We start from the raw sequence: 25,342 nt of genomic DNA on the forward strand, positions 1-25,342 counted from the left end.
GTCATTTGGTACACAGCCAAAGCCATTCCCCTTCTGCCTGGCAGAGAAAGTGGGTTCTCAGTTCCTGTCCACTCTGTCTATGGTCTCCATTAGAGATTCCGACAGTTACTAAAGTTAAAGACTCGTGTAGTGATCTCCACACTAATTGGACTATAATGTATAGCCTCGGTCAAGCACATCTTTCCCAGCCCTCCTCTCCGCGGACGGCAATCAAGCCATTTACAGAAGATGCATTGGCTGCTGAGACCCTGGAGTAACCTTAAGCTGCACTGGCCTTTTAGTGGAAAACACAATTAATTCTGATACTGAAGGGCAATTAAGACTGGGGTTAAAATAAAAATCTTTTGGAACATAGAATGTCAAAGATTGGATAGGAAATGTTTTCCCCTCATGTATCTCAGAAGCCCATGAGCATACCAGCCTCTGGTTACTCTGAGTCAACTTACCTGACTCTCATTTTATGTCAGTAAACGCGAATTGAAATGAATAGCAGTGTTAGCTGTGTTGCCGTTCTGAAAGAAGATTACTTACATCGACTGTTTTACTAGCATTAGCTTTAAAAAAACATGTGTGCCTGGACACCTGTTACATTCATACACTTGTAGAAACACCTACACAGGCTTTTAAAAACACATGCTCACAACCATGGATAATATGCCATGCGTTACAAGTTGCTCTAGCTAATTTTAGCTCAGAGAAACTCTTCCTAGAAAAAAAGTGTTTTTGTTTAAATAAAAGAACATTCCAAAAGGAGGGAAAGGGTGATGCTGCTACGCATCACTTACAGAAGCAGACCCTTTACTATCATTTGGTAGTTGCTGATTATTTGGAAGAAAAAAAGTGGAGTAGTGGAAAAAGGCTGGACGTGCATCCAAGCTACAATGGGCCACTTATTAACAAGGTTTCTAACTACCTGTTAGTCAGTTAGTCTTGCTCAGTTTATTAGTCATATGGGTTTTAAGTGAATTCTCTTTTCTTTTTTTTTTTTCATTTTTCTAGTGGGAATTTTTTTTCAACTTGTAGGAAGTTTTATTAAATGTATATTTAAACAGTGATTTTTAAAATATATATATGCACAGAAATTACCTTTTCTTAGACTGTGGGTTGTCTAATTATGCCAATGTAATTAGAAAGCAAGAAATGTTGCTGGAAATGCACCTTGATATCATCAGTTTGAACTGGATATTGTAGGTGCTACAATCCAAAAATTTCATGAGATATGTATAAGGATGTTTTCTGCAGCATTGTTTATAGGAATAGTTAATTCATTCCAAACACTAGCTGATTCCTGATAACTAGTCTAAACTTTTTCTTAGTTAAAAACAGTACCATTCAGCCTGGGTGACAGAGCGAGACTCTGTCTCTAAAATAATAATAATAGGCCAGGCGCGGTGGCTCATGCCTGTAATCCCAGCACTTTGGGAGGCCGAGGTGGGCAGATCATGAGGTCAAGAGAGCGAAACCATCCTGGCCAACATGGTGAAACCCTGTCTCTACTGAAAATACAAAAATTAGCTGGGCCTGGTGGCACACTCCTGTAGTCCCAGCTCATTCAGAGACCGAGGCAGGAGAATTGCTTGAACCCGGGAAGCAGAGGTTGCAGTGAGCCAAGATCACACTACTGCACTCCAGCCTGGTGACACAGCGAGACTCCATCTCAAAATAATAATGATAATAATAATTTAATCTGCCAAATTACTATGTGGTCATACAGGGACATAGAGTTTGTTAATATTGGTATAGTATAAGTAAACGAAGGCATAGCGATCAAATAATTTTCCCGGGATCAAAAAAAACAAATATAAGTAACCATATGAGGATTAGACCTCAGGAAGTCTAGCTTCAGGGCTCACACTTCAGGGCTCAGAGTGAGACCCATGCTGAGTTCTCATTATCGTAAGATTGAATACATAGATTTCAGTTGATCATTCAATAGAATACCATTTTGTTAAACTGTAGATTTATATGCGTCACCATAGATTAATCTCAAAAAATTAATACCAAGTAAAGGTAATTTCAAAGAGCATATATTTATCATAAGGTATTCTTTAAAGAACATGCAAAACTGTACACACACACACACACACACACACACACACACACAATGCATTCATATGTAAATGAAATAAGTATTAGAATTAACACATATCAACTTCAAAAGAGGGTCAACCTCTTTAGAGGGAGAGAAGGAAGGACGATAAAAATTTTTTTCTTTATAAATAGAGGAATTTGAAGAAAATATAGAAAAATATGAACATCTTTGAAATCTGAGTATCTGATGTGTTGTTTTTTCTACATTTATTTTAAAAATATTCCATAGATCAAATTTAAAAAGAAGCAAAAAGATAATATGTGAGGTCTCTTTTAAAAGCTATTATGCTATTCAAATGGGGATCATTTATGTTATGATCATCAAAAGCAAAGCGGAGGAGCTTGATTTCCAAAATGGCTGATTAAGGACTTCTGAAGTCCACTCCTCTACAAAAGCATATGAAGTCTGGAAATTAATTAAGGCTTGCAACAATCTGAGAAGTGTTTACTGAAGAAGTTAACAGAGTGTTAATAAGAACAGTAAGCTTTCTAGTATTTTAACTTGCCCTAATTTCATCACGCTATTTCCAGACCATAATGGCCTGGAAAACCAACAGTATCGTAACTACAGTAGTGATGAAAGTAAGTAGGCTACTATCCACTTGAAGGCCCAGAACAGTTTGGAGCTCTCTAAAATCCTCAAGTAACTGTTCCTAGAGAGCAGCACTATTTGACCTGAACGCAGCTTGAGAAAAAGTCCACTTGCCGAGCTTGCTTTTACTTGACCTGATTTGAAACTCACTCTGTGTGAACAGTCCTACCCACTGGGTATTTGCTGAAAAGAATCAGCAGCAATTGTTTAGCATTACAATTGCCAGAACCATGATATGTGTTAATCTAACAATGCACCAACCAAAAAAACTGATAAGGAGAAATTAAGAAATAATATTGCAAAGAGGTCTTTAAAGAGCTATAACATATTCCTGGAAATCTCTAAAGCCATGCATACATGCAAGATAGTGGATATTACCTAGGTTGTGTGTATGCTCAGGAAAGACCTGAGAAGGCCTTAAGCTTGTGCCTCTAGCTGACTTTTAGGCTCCTTGCAAAGAAGAAGTGAAGGTTAAGACATAGTGGTAGACTGTCAGAACATTGAAGGCATGCTCAACAGGGCCTCTCTGAAAAGGTGGGGAGACTCATTGGTTCAAGTATTTAAGGTAATCTCTGTCTGCTTATTAGCTTATACTAAATAAACTGAGCAGACATCAGGGGCCACACGTGACAAAAAACAATACAAACTTTAAAGAAACAAGGAAAATTACTAAATAATAACTATAAAAAAGCAGCAACAACAAACCATGGTCAGAGATAGGATATGATTTCTAGAGGTAACACATTACATTATCTTAAATATCTAATTTTCAATAAAAATTATAAGACACACAAAAATCAGAAAACTACCATCCATGTGCAAGGGAAAAAACAGAGACTTACCCTAAGGAAATTCAGATGTTGAACCTACTAGACAAAGACTTTAAATCAGCTATCCTAAATATGTTCAAAGAACTAAAGAAAACATATACACAAAACTAAAGAAAATATTCAGAAGCATATGTTGTCACAAATAAAGATCAATAAAGAGACATAAGCTAAATAAAGAACCAAATAGAAATTCTACATTTGAAAAGTAAAATTAGTGCTATAAGACATTCACTAGAGGGACTCGACAGTGGATTACAACTGACAGAATGAAGAAACAACAAATACGTAGACAAGTAGGTTGAGATTATATAGTCTGAGAAAGAAAATTCAAGAAAAAAGAAAAAGAACTGGCCCTCAGAAACATAGGGACACCATGAAGCATACAAACACATGCATATTGGGGTCTCCAAAGGAGAGAAGAGAAAGAAAGGGGAAGAAGAATATTTGAAGATAGAATTGGGTGACTATGATATGTCAGTGCAGGTTCATTAATTTGAACAAGTGTACCACTCCAGTGGAGGATGTCAGCAATGGGAGAGGCTCTAAATGTGTGAGCACAGAGAGTACATATAAACTCTCTGTACGTTCCTCTCATTTTGCTGTGAACCTAAAACTTCACTCAAAAAATATTTAAAAAAGAATAGCCAAAACCTTCCAGATCTGACACAAAAATATTAATCTGCAATGCAAATAGTTCAATGAACTCTAAGTAAAATAAACACAAAGACCTATACCTAGAGATGCTTAATCCACTGAAAGCCAGAGACAAAGAGAGACTCTTGAAAGTAATCTGAGAAAAGCAACTTATTGCATACCAGTGATTGTCCATAAAATTAATATCTGACTTTTCATTAGAAACCATGAAGCCCAGAAGGCAGTGGGATAGCACACTAAAAATGCTGAAATAGAAGACTGTCAAGCAAAAAAAAAAAAAAAAAAAAAAAAAAAAATATATATATATATATATATATATATACATATGTCCAGCAAAACTACCCTTGAAAAATGAAGAATGAAGAGGAGATAAAGAGATTCCTAGAGAAACAAACCAGAATTCATGGCCAGCAGATCTGGTCCACAAGAAACACTAATGAGATGACTTCAGGTTAAAATGAAAGGACATTAGACAGTAACTTAAACTCACATGAAGAAATAAAATGCACTGGCAGTGGTAAATCCATACATAACTTTAAAAAACATTACAAATATATTTGAATTCATAATACTTTTCTTATTCTATTTCATTAGACAGTAACAACTCTGTAAACAATCATTATAATCTTGCATTGACAGGATTGTAATGAATAAAGATGTAATTTTTGGCCAGGCTTAATGGCTCATTCCTGTAATCGCAGCACTTTGGGAGGCCCAGGCAGGCGGATCACCTAAGGTCAGGAGTTCAAGACCAGCCTGACCAACATGGTGAAACCCTGTCTCTACTAAAAATACAAAAATTAGCTGAGTGTGGTGGAGTGCACCTGTAATCCAAGCTATTCGGGAGGCTGAGGCAGGAGAATTGCTTGAACCCGGAAGGCGGAGGTTGCAGTGAGCTGAGATCATGCCACTACACTCCAGCCTGGGCAACAGAGCGAGACTCCGTCTCAAAAAAAAAAAAAGATGGAATTTGTATGTCAATAAGAGTAGAGAAGAGAGGAAATGGAGCTGAAATGGAGCATTTATAAGTTGGTATTAATTTAAACTAGATTAAGTTAACATGTTAATTATGCCTCCCAGGGTACCTGTTAAAAAAAGACACAAAAACATATAGCAACATATAAACAAGAAAAAAACAAACAACCCCATCAAAAAGTGGGTGAAGGATATGAACAGACACTTCTCAAAAGAAGACATTTATGCAGCCAATAAACATGTGAAAAAAAGCTCATCATCACTGGTCATTAGAGAAATGAAAATCAAAACCACAATGAGATACCATCTCATGCCAGTTAGAATGGTGATCATTAAAAAGTCAGGAAACAACAGATGCTGGAGAGGATATAGAGAAATAGAGACACTTTTACACTCTTGGTGGCAGTGTAAATTAGTTCAACCATTGTGGAAGACAGTGTAGTGATTCCTCAAGGATCTAGAACCAGAAATATCATTTGACCTAGCAATCCCGTTACTGGGTATATACCCAAAGGATTATAAATCATTCTACTATAGAGACAGATGCACACATTCATTTATTGCAGCACTATTCACAATAGCAAAGACTTGGAACCAACACAAATGCCCATTGATGATAGACTGGATAAAGAAAATGTGGCACATACACACCATGGAATACGATGCAGCCATAGAAAGGATGAGTTCATGTCCTTTGCAGGGACATGGATGAAGCTGGAAACCATCATTCTCAGCAAACTAATACAGGAACAGAAAACCAAACACCGCATGTTCTCACTCATAAGTGGGAGTTGAACGATGAGAACACATGGACCTAGGGAGGGGAACATCACATACTGGGGCCTGTCGTGGGGTCGGGGGCTAGGGGAGGGATAGCATTAGGAGAAATACCTAATGCAGATGATGGGTTGATGGGTACAGCAAACCACCATGGCACATGTATACCTATGTAACAAACCTGCATGTTCTGCACATGTATCCCAGAACTTAAACTATAATAAAAAAAGAAATAGACCCATAACAAATGAAGATATTGAATTAGTGATAAAAAAATTCCACTATGAGAAACCCAGGCCTATATGGACTCTTGAGTGAATTCTATCAAACTTTTGAAGAAGAATTGATGCCAATCCTTCTCAAACTCTTCCAAAAAATTCCAGAGGAAAGAACAATTTCTAATTCATTCTATGAGGTCGCTATTGGCAGCATATATAAAGACTTAAACACTGTAACAAAGTGAAATATGTTCCAAGAATTCAAGATTACCTTAACGTACTAAAGTCAATCAATGTAATACACCCTGTTAATAGAGGAAAGGGCAAAATCTACATAATCAGCTGAATAGATGAAGAGAAAGCATTTGACAAAATTCAAACATTTTCACAATAAAAACAACTAACACAGTAGGAATAGAATGAAACTTCCTCAACCTGATAAAGAGCATCTACAGAAACCCCACAATTAATATTACATTTACTGGTAAAGACTGCATACTTTACCTGAAGATCAGGAATAAGACGTAGATGTCCACTCCCATCATTTCTATTCAACATTGTACTGGGGATTCTAGCCAGGGCAATTAGGCAAGGAAATAAATTAAAGACATCCAGATTGAAAAGAATGAAGTGAAACTATCCCTATTTGAAGATGACATTATTGTGTTTGTAGAAAATCCTATCAAATCTGCCAAAAAACTATTAGATCTAATAAATGAGTTCAACAAGATTGTAAGATACAAGCCAATGTAAAAAAAAATGAGTTCCAAAGATGAAACTTAAAAAACTCCATCTATAAGAGCATAAAATAATATGATATTTAAAAATAACTGTAGCAAAAGAAGTGAAACACTAACACATTGAAAACTGCAAAACATTATTGAAAGAAACTAAGGAAGAACCAAACAAATGAAAAAACACAATATTGAAAGACTCATACTTCCTGATTTTCAAAACTTGCTGCAAACTACAGTAATCAAGACAGCGTGGTGCTAGCATAGGATAGATGCATAGGTCAATGAAATGAAATGGAGTGTACAGAAATAAACCCTTACATTTATGGGAAACTGATTTTTTGATAAGTGTTGCAAGACAACTGAATAAGAGCAAGAAAATTCTTTCCAACAAATGGGACTAGGACTGCCAGATATCCACATGCAAAAAAGTAAAGTTGACCTCTTACCACATACCACATGCAAATGTTAACTCTTATTGGATCAGAAGCCAAATGTATATGTTAAAACTATAGAATTCTTAGAAGAAAGCAGTTACAGAGTTTCAAGACCTTGGATTAGGCAATGTTTCTTTGATATGACAATAAAAGCTCAAGCAACAAAAGAAAAATAGATAATTGAACATTCCAACAATTTAAAATGTTTGTGCTTCAAAGGGCACCATCAATAATGTGAAAAGACAATCCATTGAATGCAAGAATTGAATGCATATTTATAAGTCATATATCTGGCAAGAGACCAGTTTCCAAATATTTAATGAATTGATTAAACTCAACAATAGAAAGACAACTCAAATATAAAATAGACAAAGGATTTACATAGACATTTCTCCAAAGAACATATAGAAATGGTCAAAAAGTACATGAAACAATGCTTAACATCATTGTTGTTGAAGTAATAAAACCACAATGAGATACCACTTCATACCAGGTACTATGACCATAGTAAAAAATGGTGGGCACTAAGAAGTATTGAAGAGGATATGGAGAAACTGGAACATACATACATTGCTGGTGGCAAGGTAAAATAATGAAGCCACATTGAAAATCAGTTTGCCAGGTCTTCAAAATGTTATACATGGGAGTTACCATGTGGCTTCATAATTCTACTCTTAGGCATATACTCAAGAGATACGATAATGTGTCCGCACAACAAATTATGCACAAATTGTTATAGAGCATTATTCATAATAGCAAAAAAGTAGAAACAATCTGTGTCCATTCTATTGAACGTATACAACACATGTTTGTTTATCTGATGAAAAGATAAACATGTGATGTATACGTGCAACAGAATATTACTGAGACACAAAAAGAAATGAAGTTCTGATGCATGGTGTAAACGTGGGACAAACCTTAACAATGTTATGTTAAGTGAAAGAAATCAGGCACAAAAGGCTGTAGTGTTATGTGATTCCACGTATATGAAATGTTCAGAAGAGACAAATCCATAGAGACAGAAATTATATTAGTGGTTGCCATGGACTGGGGGAGGGGAATGAGAGGTGACTGCTAATATGTATGAGGTTTCTTTTGGGGGTGATGAAAATGTTCTGAAATTAGCCAGTGCTGATCTACACATCACTGAACTTTTATGAATATACTAAAAACCACTTACTAGTACACATTAAACGATTACACCCTATGACGTGGAATTAAATCTTAATAAACCTGTTTTTAAAAATGTAAAACAGACATGTCTCATATTGAGATGAGATGCCTGTTTATGTTGTCAATATTAATCAAATTAATTGGACAATCACCAAATCTGTCAGCAACCTGAGGCCATGAAGTCGCAGTACAGTCATACACCTCATGTTCAACCACAAACTCATGCTACTTTGCAGCGCTTTCAAATGCATACTTAGGACACAAATGACATGGAGAGCCATGGTGTTGTAATCTCCTTGGTATGTGAAATTTCCACAGCAGAGTTGAAGGTAAAGTCTCCAACACTCTGAGGAAATTCCATAATAATGATGAGCTCACATATAAGAAGCTATCATAATTGTTAAGAAGGGATGAAAGTGATAAATATCTGAAGCCCCAGGCCTGTGATAAAAACTCTGTCAGAGTAAGGAGACAGTCAGAGTTTCAAGGCCTCATCCCTCACACACCAGGCCTGAAACACAGGCTCTGCATCCTCACAAAGCCGCTGAGACTAAAAGTCTCTGCAAAACACGTTCTCATCAGTCTGAATACCATCTCACTCCATTGTTTTTGATCTTAGAATTGTGGTGACCATAGCCATGAGAACAGACAGATACATGGACACCTGTCTCCAAGTGTACATTTTCATGTTCAAACCAGATCCCCATATGAATTCTCTATACAGACCAACTCGCAAGTTTAAATGGAATATATTTGCATTAAGATAATTGGAAGTCAGGCAACTAAAAATGCCTTGTACTACAGGTCCTTAAATTTAGAGTATGTGTTATTCCTGCACTTTGGGAGGCCAAGGCAGGGAGATCACCTGAGGTCAGGAGTTCACAACCAGCCTGGCCAACATGGTGAAATCCCCTCTCTACTAAAAATACAAAAATTAGCTGGGCATGGTGGTGGGCGCCTGTAATCCCAGCTACTTGGGAGGCTGAGGCAGGAGAATTGCTTGAACCTGGGAGGCGGAGGTTGCAGTGAGCTGAGATTGCGCCATTGCACTCCAGCAATTAGAGTATGAAAAAGCTATTTCTTGGTATCTTAAATCATTGACATTACAAGGTACAGGTGGTGAGAGTATAAAACTAATTCAGGTGGATTATGAAAGGGTGCTATAATATGACACCCAAGGAAGAAATTTAAATTGTTATTATCAGACTACCTCTCTCTCTTCTTCCTCTCTCAGCAACATACCTGAAATTAAAAGAGGCATCAATAAAATTCCCCTAGAGGCTGTGGTGGGACTACGACCTTGCCAGCACCTTGATTTTTGACTTCTGGCTTCCAGAATTGTGAAGGAATAGATTTCTGTTGTTTTAAGCCACCATTCTTGTGCTAATTTGTTATGGCAGCCACAAGAAACTTACACACTTGATTCAACGCCACTGAATAGCTTTCTACACGTAGGTTCTTTCCAATTCTATGGTATTATCATTAGCACTGAGGTGAACATTGCACCATCTGGTGATCCAAGGTGGCATCTTTTCAAAATCTCCCTCTAAGTGGCTAGGGTATCAGGCATGCGTTCTGGTTCAGTCATATATATACATTTTTTTTTGCAAGTCTACATGGCTTCACTTACTCATTAATGGAAGTTTTAAAAACCAAAGTGATAACCTTAATCATTTCTCACTTAAACAAGAGAGTATGATTTTAACCAGAATGATACCTGTTACAGCAGCAATAGTACTGTGTGGTATTAAGGTTTGAATTCTGACTGTAAGGCTTTGGATCAGTAACTTAATCCCTCCATGCCTCTGTTTACTCATCTAGAAAATGAGGCTATTGGCAGAGACGTAGTTGGCATTCACTGTCTCAACTTCATGCTGAGGTCCTTAGTCTAGTTCTTGCAACTGCAAGCTTTGGCTCTCAACACCGTTACCATATCACTAATTTAAAAACAAAACAGAAGAAAAGGAAAAAAGAAACTATTTAGAACTAATTGATTTTGTTCTATGAGTTCATCTGCCTCCTTCTGCCAGTGTGAAAGGGCTGAGCCTAGAGGGTTCTTTAAATAGTAAAAAATAGATTAATGCTGCACTATTCTTGATGGGATGCAATGTGATATTATCCACTGTAAAACGCACGTAGGTGACTCCCACCACCAATGTCACTGTCCCACTCCTCAGATTTAAAACACAAATTTGGTCATGTGTCTTCACCCCACCTCCAAACCTTTCGTGTCTCATCCTGTCATTAGCAAGAAGTGTTTGCCACGGACTATGCCAAGGCTCCATGTCTTTGCTCATGCTGTTCATTCTGTCCGGATTTAGGTGCCCTTTTCTTCTTGCTAGAGAACCCTACTTTTAAATTTTTGGCCAGTTTTGCAATAAGCATTCCAGTCCTGCTGGCTGGTAGATTACATCTGCTCTTTATTTTTAAATAGACTTTATTTTAAAAAAAAACTTTTATATGTACAGAAAAAAATAAGCAGAGAGTACACAGTGTTTCCATATAGCCCATATTCAGTGTCCCCTATTGTTAATATCTTAGATTATTATGGGATATTTGTCACAATTAATGAATCAATACTGATACATTATCCTATACTAAAGCCCACACGTTATTCATATTTTCTTAGTCTTTACAGAATTCTCTTTTCTGTCTCAGGATACCACATGACATTCAGTCCTCATGTCTCCTTACGCTCCTCCTGGTCATGATAGTTTCTCTGACTCTGTTTGTTTTTGATGACCTTCTCAATTTGGGGCATACTGTTCAAATGTTCTGTAGGATGCCCCTCTATGGGAATTTATCTAATATTTTTCACATGATAAGACTGGTTTTATGAGTTATTGGGAAGAAAAATACAGAGGTAAAGGGCCATTTTTATTACACCACAACAAGAATACCTACTATCAGCTGGGCGCGGTAGCTCATGCCTGTAATCCCAGCACTTTGGGAGGCTGAGGTGGGCGGATCCCTTGAGGTCAGTTTGAGACCAGCCTGGCCAACATGGAGAAACCCCGTCTCTACAAAAAATACAGAAGTTAGCCAGGCGTGATGGCGTTCGCCTGTAATCCCAGTTACTCCGGAGGATGAGGCAGGAGAATTGCTTTAACCTGGGAGGCGGAGGTTGCAGAGAGGTGAGATGGCGCCATTGCATTCCAGCCTGGGTGACAGAGTGAAACTCTGCATGCCCCCAACCCCCCAAAGAAGAATACCTACTATCAACATAATTTATGACTACTGATACTGACCTTGACTTTTTTCACCTAGCTGAGGTAGTATTTGACAGGTTTCTCTGCTATCTCTTACTCACTTTTAATACTCAGTTCAAATGCTACCACCTTTTTGAAGTCCTCCTGGACTCCTTCAGCCCCTAGTAAGCTATTGAATCCATTTATCCATTTATTAGTCATTAATAAACATTTGTTAATCACTTACTATGTGTCTGGCATGGTGCAAAGTGTGAGGATGCAGCAATTTAAACATGCAATAATTGTTTCATAAAAGAGTAGCTACGTGAACTGATGGTGTTAAACAGAAGCAGAATACTTTTCTCATATTAGGTCAGCATTTATATATTGAGCACCTCTAGTTTATACAGTACCGTGTTAGAAGTGTTAAGGACAACATATATTTAAAATACAGACCTTGCTGTAAGGTATAGCAAGGGCTGGCAAAATCCAGCATTCAGGACCAAATCCTGCCTGATGCTTGTTTTTGTAAATAAAGTTTTATTGAAACACAGCCACACCCCTACGTTTACATATGGTTTATGATCACTTTGCCCTAGAGCAGCAGAGTTGAGTAGTTACAACAGAGCCTATATGACTTGCGAAGCTTAAAATATTTACTGTCTGCTCCTTTATAGAAAAGGTTTTCTTATTCCCTCTCTCAAGCATTAAAATTCACAATATACATGGAAACTCATAACACTTAGGTACTTGTAAAAATAAAATAGATTTAACTCTAAATGGAAGAGCTAATATAAGAGCTTAATATATTTTTGTAGGCATTATTTGGTTTAACTGTAAATCCAGTGTAAGAATTGATCATCCTGAATGGGAGTCAATGAACACATTTATTAAAGGCTTCTTATGGGCCAGGGTAGTGTTGAAAGCAAGGGATTTATTGACGAACAAGACAGGTCCCTTCCGCTAAGAAGCATACACTTTAATGCTATAGGGCTGCATTATCCAATACGGTAGCCATAGGCACCTGTGTCTGTTGAGCACTTGAAATCTGAGTGGTTTCGACTGAGATGTCTGAAAGCCTAAAATATAATGCAAAAGAGATTTCCAAAGAATTAGTGTAAAAAAAAGTCTGAAAAAATGTTAATATTAATTACATGTTTACTTTATTGTACATGAGGATTATATAATATGATGATAATAAAATATGTTGCTAAAATAACTTTTACCTGCATTCTTTTCTTTTCTTTTAACTTTTTAATGTGGCTACTAGAAAATTTTAAATCACATATGTGGCTGATATTATGCTTCCTATTGGACAGTGCTTGTCTAAACTTTAGAAATGTGCTGCCAATACAGTAGCCACTAGCTACCTATTGCAATATAAATTGAAGTTAATAAAAATTAAATATGCTGTAATTATAATTTTGGTTTCTTGAGTTAAACTAGCCGTATTTCAAGTGCTCAACAGCCACATGTGGCTAGAGGCTACCATACCGGCCAGTATAACACAGATATAAATTATTTCCATCATTGCAGAGAGTTCTTAATATGGTTTGGCTGTGTCCCCACCCAAATTTCATCTTGAGTTGTAGCTCCCATAATTCCCATGTATTGTGGGAGGGACCTGGCGGGAGATAATGGAATCATGGGGACTGTTTCCGTCATACCATCCTTGTGGTAGTGGATGAGTCTCAGGAGATCTGATGATTTTATAAGGGGAACCCCTTTTGCTTGGCTCTCATTTCTCTCTTGTCTTCCACCATGTAAGACATACCTTTCACCTTCTGCTATGATTGTGAGGCCTTCCCAGCCACTTGGAACTGTGAGTCCATTAAACCCCTTTTTCTTTTTTCTTTTTTTTTTTTTTTTTTTTGAGACGGAGTTTTGCTCTGTCGCCCAGGCTGGAGCGCAGTGGCTCTGTTGCCCAGGCTGGAGTACAGCAGCGCGATCTTGGCTCACTGCAAGCTCCGCCTCCCGGGTTCACGCCATTCTCTTGCCTCAGCCTCCAGAGTAGCTGGGACTACAGGCGCTCACCACCGCGCCTGGCTAATTTTTTGTATTTTTTAATAGAGACAGGGTTTCACTGTGTTAGCCAGGATGGTCTCGATCTCCTGACCTCGTGATCTGCTCACTTCAGCCTCCCAAAGTGCTGGGATTACAGGCGTGAGCCACCAAGCCCGGCTGCCTCTTTCTTTATAAATTACCCACTCTCGGGTTTGTCTTTATCAGCAGCTTGAAAACGGACTAATACAGTTCTAATGAGCAGGGATGCCCTAGAGGAATATGAAAAAGGCTTCCTATTTTTTTTTCATTGACAAATAAAAAGTGTATGCATTTATTGTGTACAATGTGATGTTTTGAAATACGTATACATTATGGAATGGTGGAATTGAGCTAATTAACATATGCATTACCTCACACACATACCATTTTTGTGTCTCTGTGGTAAAAACACTTAAAATCTACTCTCTTAGCAATTTTCAAGAATACAATTTGTTGTTATTAACTATTGTACAACATAATATCTCTTGAACTTATTTCTCATAACTTAAAGTTATGTCCCTTGACCCACCTCTCCCCAACCCCCAATTTTTTTTTTTTTTTCACTGATGGTGATAAGCATTCTATTAGGAAAGAAAAGGACTAAAAATGAAATGGGAGACTGATGTTGGGCAAATGCATTAACATTTCCTGGAAGTGAATTCCTTCAGGTGTGTGGATCTTTGAGTGGCCACACTGATGTGCTTGCATAACAAGGACCAGGAACAGTCAGCAGATGGATGACCTGGAAGAAAGGGGAGGAACCTCAGGACAAGGAAACAGAAACAAACGCTGCTACACATTTAGCTCTAAAGTACTGTAGGGAAAAGTATGACATCTTAACTATGTTTTTTAAAATGTATATTTCGGAGTGTTTTGACTGGAGGACCTATATAACTGTGTTGTGTATTAAATGGATGAAACATATTTCCCTAGATGCAGAGGAAAGTCTTTCTAATGGCAGGAAACTATATTTTCTTTATGACCACTTTTAGTTTCAGTAGCAGATATAATACCAGGCCCAAGCCTCACAAGCAATACACTAAAAAGGGAGTAGCTACGAGGGTGGGAAAGGAGGAAAAACGTGCTCTAAAAGCAGGAAATAGGCAGCACAAAGACAGATCAGATCTTGCTCCCTGGGTGACAAGATTATGGGTTTTGGAGCATCAGAGAATTTGGTTTGGATCTTATCTCAACCGTTTACTAGCTGTGGCATAAAGACATCAGCACTTACTGTGCTCTTACTATATATCAGGCACTTCAGATTGATTATCTCACTGAATTTCCCAAGAACCCTAAGAGAGAGGTTCTGTAATTATCCCTATTTTACAGAAGAAGAAAATGAGGCTTAGGGAGATTGAAAATTACATTCCAATGAAGAGCACAGGCAGGCTTTGCAACCAGCTAGTCAACACTCCACATCCCACCCTTACATTTCACTGTCTCCCATGGAGCCTGCATCGAGTCAGTTAACCTCTCCTTAGACCCAGTTTTCTCAACTACAAAATAAGAATAATTATATCCACCTTGCAGAGTTGTTACAACTATTTGATCAGACACTGGTAAACCATCTAATTGGGTGTGGGATGTAAATGTTAGTTTACTCCTGCATTCATGAGGTAAGACAAAATTGATACAATTTGGAAAAAATACATATCTTAGGACAGGGTCCCCAGGCCCAGGGTGATGAACTGGTACTGGTCTATAGCCTGTTAAGAAGTGGGCCACACAGCAGGAGGTGAGCAGCAAGCGAAACTTCATCGGTATTTATGGCCGCTCCCCATCGCTTGCATTACCACCAGAGCTCCACCTTCTGTCAGATTAGTGGCAGCATTAGATTCTCAGAGGAGCACAAACCCTATTGTGAACTGCACATGCGAGGGATCTAGGTTGCACACTCCTTATGAGACTCTAATGCCTGATGATCTGTCACTGTCTCTCTCATCTCCCCCAGATGGGACTGTCTAGTTGCAGGAAAACAAGTTGAGGACTCCCACTGATTCTATATTATGGTGAGTTGCATAATTATTTCATTATATAATACAATGTAATAATAATAGCAAGAAAGTGCACAATAAAGATAATGCACTTGAATCAACCCAAAACCATCTCCCTCCCTGGCTGTCGAAAAATTGCTTTCCATGAAACCAGTCCCTGGTGCCAAAAATCTGGGGACTGCTGTCTTAGGAAACAAAGATATTTTTCTCTTGCTCATAACAGACACAGGTGAGAGTTTTGGCTGGCAGTCAGCCTGCCCCACATAGACAATCAGGGACTGCATTCCTTAGTATTGCATGGTTCCACCATATCTGGGTTCTAGCAGGTGGGAAAGCAGAAGGAAATGGAGAGAAGCCACATGCTCTATCATAAGCTACACCTGAAGACACATATCCAGTGCTCATATCCACTGGGGACAGCTTAGATCCTTGCCAAACCTTACTGAAAGGGTGGCTGGAAAATGTTGTCTTGCCATGTGCCCACCTCCAACTCAATTACTGTAGAAGGAAAAATAGATTGTGGTGATTAAAAGGACCATGGTTTAAATTGTCAACAAGTCAGTTTCTCTTTAATGTCCCCTGATCCCTTCCTTTAGTATTTGACTTCCCTCTCATCTCAGTTCTCTCCTCTGCTGGATTCTGGGCCTGCTCATTTTGGGTAGGAGCCCACATGAGGTATCCTGGGGCCTGTTCTCTTTATTCCACTCCAGTGGATAACCCACTAGGTACCTGACACTTTTGAGATGCCCTGATCCACACTCTTGCAGCTCTCCTCAATTCTTTATTAATCAAGTTTTCTGGGTCTATAAGGGCTTTCCAGGCCTTCCAAGGCAGGTTAATATCATAGGAATGTCCCTGGGAATAATCATGTCTTGAATCTCTGCCAATTACACTTCCAACTTTTGATGACCTTGGCCAAATTACTTAATCTCTGAGCTGAATTGTTTATATTTGTAAAATTGGGATAATTCTTACTCTCCTTCCCTCATGAGACTCTTTTGTGAAAACAACTGAGATAAAAAATTAAAAAGCGTTTTTCAGCAGGTAACACACTGTTACAAAGTTTATTAAAATTTCCCTAATGTAACAGATAAAATAATTATTTGCTCTTTTTTGCTGAGTATTAAAGTTGACTCTACTTTTAGCAAAAATAAAATATTCTATATAAATAATAATAGTATATTATCAATAAATGAAATAAAGTATCTTTGTATGTTGCTTTTTTTTTTTTTTTTTTTGGCAGAGCAAGATAATGGAATAGAAACGTATACTATTCATCCCCACAGCTAGAACACCAAATTTTAACAACTATCTGCACACAGATAGACACTGTCACAGAAACTAAAAACCGGGTACCAACTCAGCCTCAGTGGAATAGAGCAACAAGCAGGCTCTTGGGGGCCCTGAGTCCAGGCCTAGGCTCTTGGACAGCATTTCTGGACCTACCATGAAGGGTGAATCCCTGGCCAGTCAGCATTCTCCACAAGCTGACTGAAGAGCCCTTGAGCTCTAAGTAAGCAATGGCGGTCACCTGGCAGAATCCCCTGTTGACCACTGTTGGCTGTGACCACAGAGAAAGGGACCGGCTCAGCCACAGTGGAAAGAGGAGGGAAGAGTGGGAAGGACTTTGTATTACAATTTGAGTGCCAGCTTAGCTGTAGTAGAGTAGAACATCATGTAAATGGCTAAGGTTTTTGACTCCCTCCCAGACAGCATCTCTGGACAAATCCAGGGTCTCGGGGAGCTTGCCTTCCTGAAGGGAAGGGCTTTGAACCAGACCCAATGCTGTGCTAGTTTCAGGTCTGACCCAGTGCAGTCTCAGTGGTGGTGGTGGCCATAGGGGTGTTTACATCAATACACCCCCAGTTCCAGGTGGCTCAGTACAGAGAGAGAGACTCCTTTTGTTTGGCAGAAAGTAAGGAAAAAGAATAAGAGCCTTTGCCTGTTAATCCAGAGAACTCTTCTGGATCTTATCCAAGACCACCAAGGTGGTACCTATACAAGTCTGCAAAAAACCACAGCATTATTGGACTCAGGGCCCAAGTCTCTTTGAATACCTAGAAATCTCTCTCAAAAAGGACAGGCTCAAACAAGCCCAGAATGTGAAAACTATAATAAATACCTAACTCTTCAATGCCCAGACACAGATGAACATCAAAAAGCATCAAGGCCATCTGGGAAAACATGACCTCACCAAATGAAATAAATAAGACCAATCCTAGAGAAGCAGAGCTATATAACCTATCAGTCAGAGGATTCAAATAGCTGCTTTGAGGAAATTCTAAGAAATTAAAGATAAAACAGAGAAGGAATTCAGAATTCTATCAGATAAATTTAACAAAGAAATTAAAAGAATTAAGCAGAAATTCTGCAGTTGAAAAATGCAATTGATATGTTGATGAATGCATCAGAGTCTCTTAATAGCAGAATTGATCAAGCAGAAGAAAGAATTAGTGAGCTTGAAGGCAGGCTATTTGAAAATACACAGTCAGGCCAGGCATGGTGGCTCACGCCTATAATCCTAGCACTTTGGAAGGCTGAAGTGGGTGGATGCCTTCAAGTTTCCCCAGGAGTTTGAGACCAGCCTGGGCAACCTAGTGAAACCCTGTGTCTACTAAAACTAAAAATTAAAGAAAAGTAGCCATACATGGTGGTGTGCACCTGTAGTCCCAGCTACTCAGGAGGCTGAGGCATGAGAATCATTTGAACCTAGGGGGCAGAGAACCTGGGAGTTGGAGGTTGCAGTGAGCCAAGATTGCGCCACTGCACTCTACCCTGGGTGACAGAGTGAGACTCTGTCTCAAAAAAAAAAAAAAAAAAAAGAAAAAGAAAAAGAAGAAAAGACACACTCAGAGGAGACAAAAGAAAAAGAATGAAAAACAATGAAGCATGCCTATAAGATCTAGAAAATGGCCTCTAAAGGGCAAATGTAAGAGTCAATAGCCTTAAAGAGGAGGTAGAAAAAGAGACAGAGATACAAAGTTTATTCACAGAGATAATATTAGAGAACTTCCCAAACCTAGAGAAAGATATCAACACTCAAATCCAAGAAGGTTATAGAACATCAAGCAGATATAACCCAAAGGTGACTACTTCAAGGCATTAATAATCAAAGTCCCCAAGTCAAGGATAAAGAAAGAATTCTAAAAGCAGCAAGAGAAAATAAATAAATAGCAAATGATGAAGTTCAAATACATTTGGTAGTGGACTTTTCAAGTAGAAATCTTACAGGATAAGAGAGAGTGGCATGACATACTTAAAGTGCTGAAGAAAAAATAAAACTTTTACCCTAGAATAATATATCTGGCAAAAATATCCTTCCAACTTTTGATGGAGATATAAAGACCTTTACAAACAAACAAAGACTGAGGGATTTCATCACCACCAGACCTGTCTTATAGGAAATGCTAAAGGGAGTTCTTCATTCTGAAAGAAAAAGGTGTTCACAAGCAAGAATAAATCATCTGAAGGTACAAAGCTCATTGGTAATAGTAAGCACACACACAGAAAGACACAGAATACTGTAATACTGTAATTGTGATGTGTAAACTACTATTATCTTATATTAAAAGGATTATTCACCATGACCAAGGGGATTTATCCCAGTGATGCCAGGATAGTTTGACATACACAAATCAACCAGTGTGATACATTATATCAATAGAATGAAGGACAAAAACCACATGATCCTTTAAATTAACGCTGAAAAAGCATTTGATAAAATTCAACACCATTTATGACAAAAACAAAAAAACTGGGAACAGAAGGAACATACCTCAACATAATAAATGTCATATATGAGAGACTCGTAGGTAGTTATCATACTGAATAGGGAAAAACTGAAAGCCTTTCCTCTAACATCTGGATGCTCACTGTCACCACTGTTATTTAACATAGGACTAGAAGTCCTAGCTAGAGCAACCAAACAAGAAAAAGAAATAAAGCGCATCCAAATTGAAAAGGAAGAAGTCAAATTATTTTTGTTTGAAGATGATAGGAAAAGCCTAAAGACACTACCAAAAAACTATTAGAACTCATAAACAAATTCAGTGAAGTTGCAGGATACAAAATCAACATACAAAAATCAGTAGCATACTTCTATGTCAGCAGAGAACAATCTGAAAAAAAATCAATAAAATAATCCCATTAACTATATATAAATTAAATAAAATATTTAGGAATTAATCAAAGAAGTGAAAGATCTCTACAAGGAAAACTATCAAACGTTGATGCAAGAAATTAAAGGGGACACCAAAAAATGGAAATATAGTCCATATATATGAATTGAAAAAAATCAATATTGTTAAAATGTCCATACTACCCAAAGCAATCTACTGATTCAATGCAATGCCTATCAAAATACCAACGATATTCTTCACAGAAATAGAAAAAAATCTTAAAATTTATATGGAACCACAAAAGATCCAGAATAGCCAACAATCTAAGTAAAAAGAAACCTGGAAGAATCACATTATCTGACTTCAAGTCATACTACAGAGATAGAGTAACCAAAACGGCATGGAAAGGGCATAAAAACAAACACATAGACCAATGGAACAGAATAGAGAACCCAGAAACAAATCCACACAACTACAGTGAACTCATTTTTGACAAAGTAACCGAGAACATACACTGGGAAAAAGGTAGTCTCCTCAATAAATGGTGCTGGGAAAACTGGACATCCACATGCAAAAGAACGAAACTAGTCCCCTGTCTCTCTCACCATATACACAAATCAAATCAAAATATATTCAAGACTTAAATCTAAGACCTCAGACTACTAAAAGAAAACTTTAGGGAAACTCTCCAAAACATTAGACTGGGCAAAGATTTCTTGAGTAATACCTCACAAGCAGAGGCATCCAAAGCAAAAAATGGATATATCGGGTTACATAAAGTTAAAAAGCTTCTCGACAGCAAAGGAAACAATCAACAAAGTGAAGATACAACCTATAGAATGAGAGAATGTATGTGCAAACTATCCATCTGACAAGGAATTAATAACCAGAATATATAAGAAGCTTAAGTCTACAGGAAAAATATCTAATAATCTGATTAAAAAATGGGCAAAAGATCTGAATAGATGTTTTTTTAAAAGAAGACATACAAATGGCAACAGGTATATGCAAATCAAAACTACATTGAGACATCATCTTACCCTGTTTAAATGCATTTCATTCAGAAGGCAGGCAGTAACAAATGTTGGCAAGGATGTGGAGAAAAGGGAATTCTTGTATACTGTTGGTGGGAATGTAAATTAGTACAATCACTATGAAAACAGTTTGGAGGTTCCTCGAAAAACTAAAAATAAAGCTATCACACTGATACAGTTTGGAGTATGTCGTTGCTCAAATCTCCTATTGAAATATAATCCCCAGTGTCAGAGTTGGGGCCTGGTAGGAACTGACTGGATCATAGGGGTGTATTTCTCATGAATGGTTTAGTGTCATCTCCTTGATACTGTTCTCACAATAGTGAGTGAGTTCTCATGCGATCTGGCCATTTAAAAATATGTGGCATCTCTCCTCTCCCTCTTTTGCTCCTGCTCTGGCCATGTGACATGGCTTTTTCCCCTTCGCCTTCTGCCATGATCATAAGTTTCCTGAGATCTCACCAGATCCTGAGCAGATGCCAGCATCATGCTGCCTGTACAGCCTGCAGAACCGTGAGCCAATTAAACCTCTTTTCTGTATAAATTATCCCATCTCAGGTATTTATTTATAGCAATGTGAGAATGACCTAACACATGTATGATCCAACAACCCCACTGCTAGGTAGAAACCCAAAGGAAAAAATCAGTATGTCAAAACGATGTCTGTACTCTCATGTTTATTGCAGTACTATTCACAATAACCAAGATTTGGAAACAAGCTAAGTGTCCATCGACACATGAATGGATACAGAAAATGTGGTACATATACACAATGGAGTACTGTTCAGCCATAAAAAATAATGAGATTCTGTCATTTGCAACAACATGGATGGAACTGGAGGTCATTATAAGTGAAATAAGACAGGCACAGAAACACAAACTTTGCATGTTCTCACTTATTTGTGGAAGCTAAAAATTAAAACAATTGAACTCATGGACATAGAGAGTAGAAGGGTGGTTACCAGAAGCTGGGGAGGTTAACTGATACGAAAATAGAGAGAATGAATGAGTTCTAGTATTTGATAAAGCAACAGGGAGACTATAGTCAAAAATAATTTAATTGTACATTTTAAAATAACAAAGAGTATAATTGGATTGTTTGCAACACAAAGGATAAATAGTAGAAGTGATGTATACCCCATTTACCCTGATGTGATTATGATATACTGCATACCTGTATCCAAATATTTCATGTACCTCATAAATCTATAAGCCTACTATGTACCCACAAAAATTAATTTAATAAAATGTAGTGCATTTAATTTAATTTGCAGAAAAGAATACAGCATTATTACTTTGCTTTACATCTATTTGAAGATATTTCAGTGCATTTCTTCATTATGTTATCCCTCTCTCCTTTGAAATGCTCACCCTTTCATACTTGCTTTTTATATACCTGCTGGTTTTTTTTTTGTTTCAGTTTGTTTTTTTCCTTGAACTCCTAAAAAGTAAGATTCCATAGATACTTCAAATCTTGTCATGTGGACTGATGTTTCTCTAGCACAGCAAGGAAAAGGCAAAGGAAGAATCAGAACCCCAGTAACCCTGTCTCCAACAGACTTGGGTTTTCTTCCTGGTTACTCAGGTCCTTATTTCTCTCAGCAGGTCTCTTTCTGGGTTAGTCACTGCTTTCTCTTCCGAGAATTGTGCAAAAGTTTCTACAAGTTGTATGAGAAACCACTAACTGATGTTAAGTTTGCACAATGGGTAGTTTATACAAATGTTTCTCTTAGAAAGCAACATGCCCAGGACATTTCTGGGAGGCATGTATAGTACAGCTTTCACTAGCAGCTGCCAGAACATGCTGGAGCTTCCCAAGGTTGAATCTATTGCTCCCCGGGATTGACTCAATGTCTGTTCTGTCAGCCAGTGTAACTGCAGACTGCAACGTGCTCCATGTTTTCATACACAAAAGGGATATGGAAAGAACAGAAGGCAGGATCCAAGAGAAAATGTGAGCCAGTACAACACCACGCAAATGCAACATGTTGATTGATCTAGTGTGAACTCTTTATATAGACCAAAGGAAGCAGAGCCCAAGGCTGATATCTGCATTGTTAAAGTGAATATATGATCTGTCCCAAGTATTCAGAGAGCTGAAGCAAAATTGAGGATATTTGCCTTTGCCTATAAAATAGTTTACTGTTGACTTGCCTTTGTTCCCGCATCCCTCCCAGCATGGCTACTAACCAGCTGTGTGACTGAGTCTGTTAGTTCACAGCTTTCAGCCACCTTTACCATTGGAAAAGTGAAGATGGTGCGCCAGTCGGTCTCTGACATCCTTTCCAGCCTTCAAACTATGTCACTCTTTTAGAGACATTTTGACCACTATCTCCTTTTTTTCTAATATTGTATGAGGTTTTTTACTGAACACGAGTTGAGATGAACCATGAGATGTCCCTGTTTAATCTTGCAGATGTGGCCAAGGGGTGCACGGACTATAGTAGTTGGCATTGTGTTTGACTGAAATTAACAACAACATTAAACCCTACCACAGAGGCTGCAACATGTTGAAAAACACTGCTCCAGCACTTCTGAGAACTTACACGAGATGCATATATAACACAAGCATACATATGGGTTTCCTTATTTTATTTTTGCTTTGTAGCTCACAAAAAGTCAACAGATTCTCCAGGAAAACAAGAAATCACAGGGCTTCACAAGGACCTCTACAGGTTTTAAGAACACCAGTGGTGGGGAGGGAGGTGTCTTTGAGCTACTAAAACATTTTAAAGAGACTAAGAGCAGCCAAGCAACCATATCATCATCTCTATAAAGTTACAAAAATGTTGAGATTATCTTCTTTTGACATGAGTGATATATATTATGTTTGAATTTATCCTGATCTTGTCTCATTCTGATCTTAAGCTCTAATGGGCAGCTATATATAAGCTTTTGAGGAAGTAAAACACAATTACAAAATTGGGTTTACACGCAAAATATTTCAAGTGATAGGGCAGTTCAGCTCAGTGCCTACCATGGGGAGGGATGGAAAGAAAGACCTAGGAAAAAATCATCTCAATACAACATGGGGTGTTCTACAGTTGCCTTTACAGCTGGTCCTCAAGGGACACACAGAAAGGAAACTCTGCCTTGGCAGTGGGACGGTTCCAGGGAATCTTAAAAACATCTGAGGAGTTAACCTTTGAAGAAGGTGATAAAGAACGCTCCAGGAAAATGAGATCATCGCTGTAAGATCAAGAAGTGTTAAAGTCTTTGATGCATTTAGAGAACTCCATGCATAAAGTTTGAGGAAGTGATGGGCAAGAGGTGAACCTGAAGGGGCAGGAAGAGGCCTGACAGAGGGAGGGCCTGCTGTGCCTCACTAGAAAGATCAGGCATGTGTGTGTAGATAGTGGGGAGCCATGGAAAGGTGCTGGATGAGAGTGTGACAGGGTTGGTTTTCTACACCCCCAGAGTAAAAAAGAATAAAGCATCCTTGTAATTGAAAAATTGAGGAGCAACTGCCCTACCTGTTCAGGCAGCTGTTTTAAGTTTCATTACTTCCTGGCACATCATCTGTCACTTAATATTAGTGGCTCTATAGTTCCTGCTCTGCTTAACTATATCAGGGGCAATCAGTCTCAGCATCTTTGTATATTCACAGTTTGTTTTCTGCACTGATTCAAGACTTTCTATTAGCCAAGACTTTCTAGTACAAACTTCCACTCCTCCTCCTAAAGTCTTCCTAAACTCTCCTAGATCCCAAAGATATCTCACTTTTAATAGGAGTTTATGAGTTATCATTTGTTGTGTAACAAGTCATAGCAAGGTTTATCAGCTTCAAACAGCAAACTTACTATCTCATAATTTATGTGGGTCGGGAATCCAGGTATGGCTTAGCTGAGTGCCTCTGACTCAGGGCTTCTCACAAGGTTGCAATCAAGGTGTCAGCCTGGGCAGCAGTCACCTCAAGGCTCCATGGGAAGAACCTGTTTCCATGCTCACTCACACTGCTATTGGGAGGCCTCAAGTCCTTACTCACTCTTGGAGATGGCAGTTTCTTGCTACCTGGGCCTTTCCAGAGTTCCACCACAATATGGCACTGGGGTTCTCCCAGAGAGCCAGAGAGGATAAGCAAGACGGAAGTCACAATGCTTTTGCAATCTAATCTCAGAAGTGATAACCTATCACTTTTTTTTTGTATTCTATTCTAGTCTATCTTTATTCTAGAAAATAAAGTAATTCAACCTATACTCCAGGGGAAGGGATTACACAGTGGGTGAATGTCAGGAGGCAGGGTCACTGGGAGCTATCCTAGGGGCTTTCAACCACAGGAGTTACTCAACTACCTCCGTTTCTCCAAACATGACTGAGAACAGACAGCTTGGAAGAGCCAAATATGTACTCCTCCATCTTTCCGTGTGGGTGTTATTCCCCAATCTCCTATTTCACTCCCAAAACCAGTTCATCATTCCAGCTATGTTAGTCCAGCTTTTGGGCTGTGTTAGGACTATATTCTGAGGATGTTGATGTTTTCTGCT

General features: G+C 38.3%; 1 long non-coding RNA gene across 1 annotated transcript in view; it reads left to right on the top strand.

Moving 5' to 3' along the window:
- LOC105370991 (uncharacterized) overlaps positions 1–25,342 on the top strand; it is a 152,871-nt gene that overhangs the window by 77,752 nt on the left and 49,777 nt on the right. The window lies entirely within an intron of this gene.

This window comes from Homo sapiens, chromosome 15 (assembly GCF_000001405.40).
Source record: "Homo sapiens chromosome 15, GRCh38.p14 Primary Assembly".
In the NCBI taxonomy this organism is placed as follows: Eukaryota; Metazoa; Chordata; class Mammalia; order Primates; family Hominidae; genus Homo; species Homo sapiens.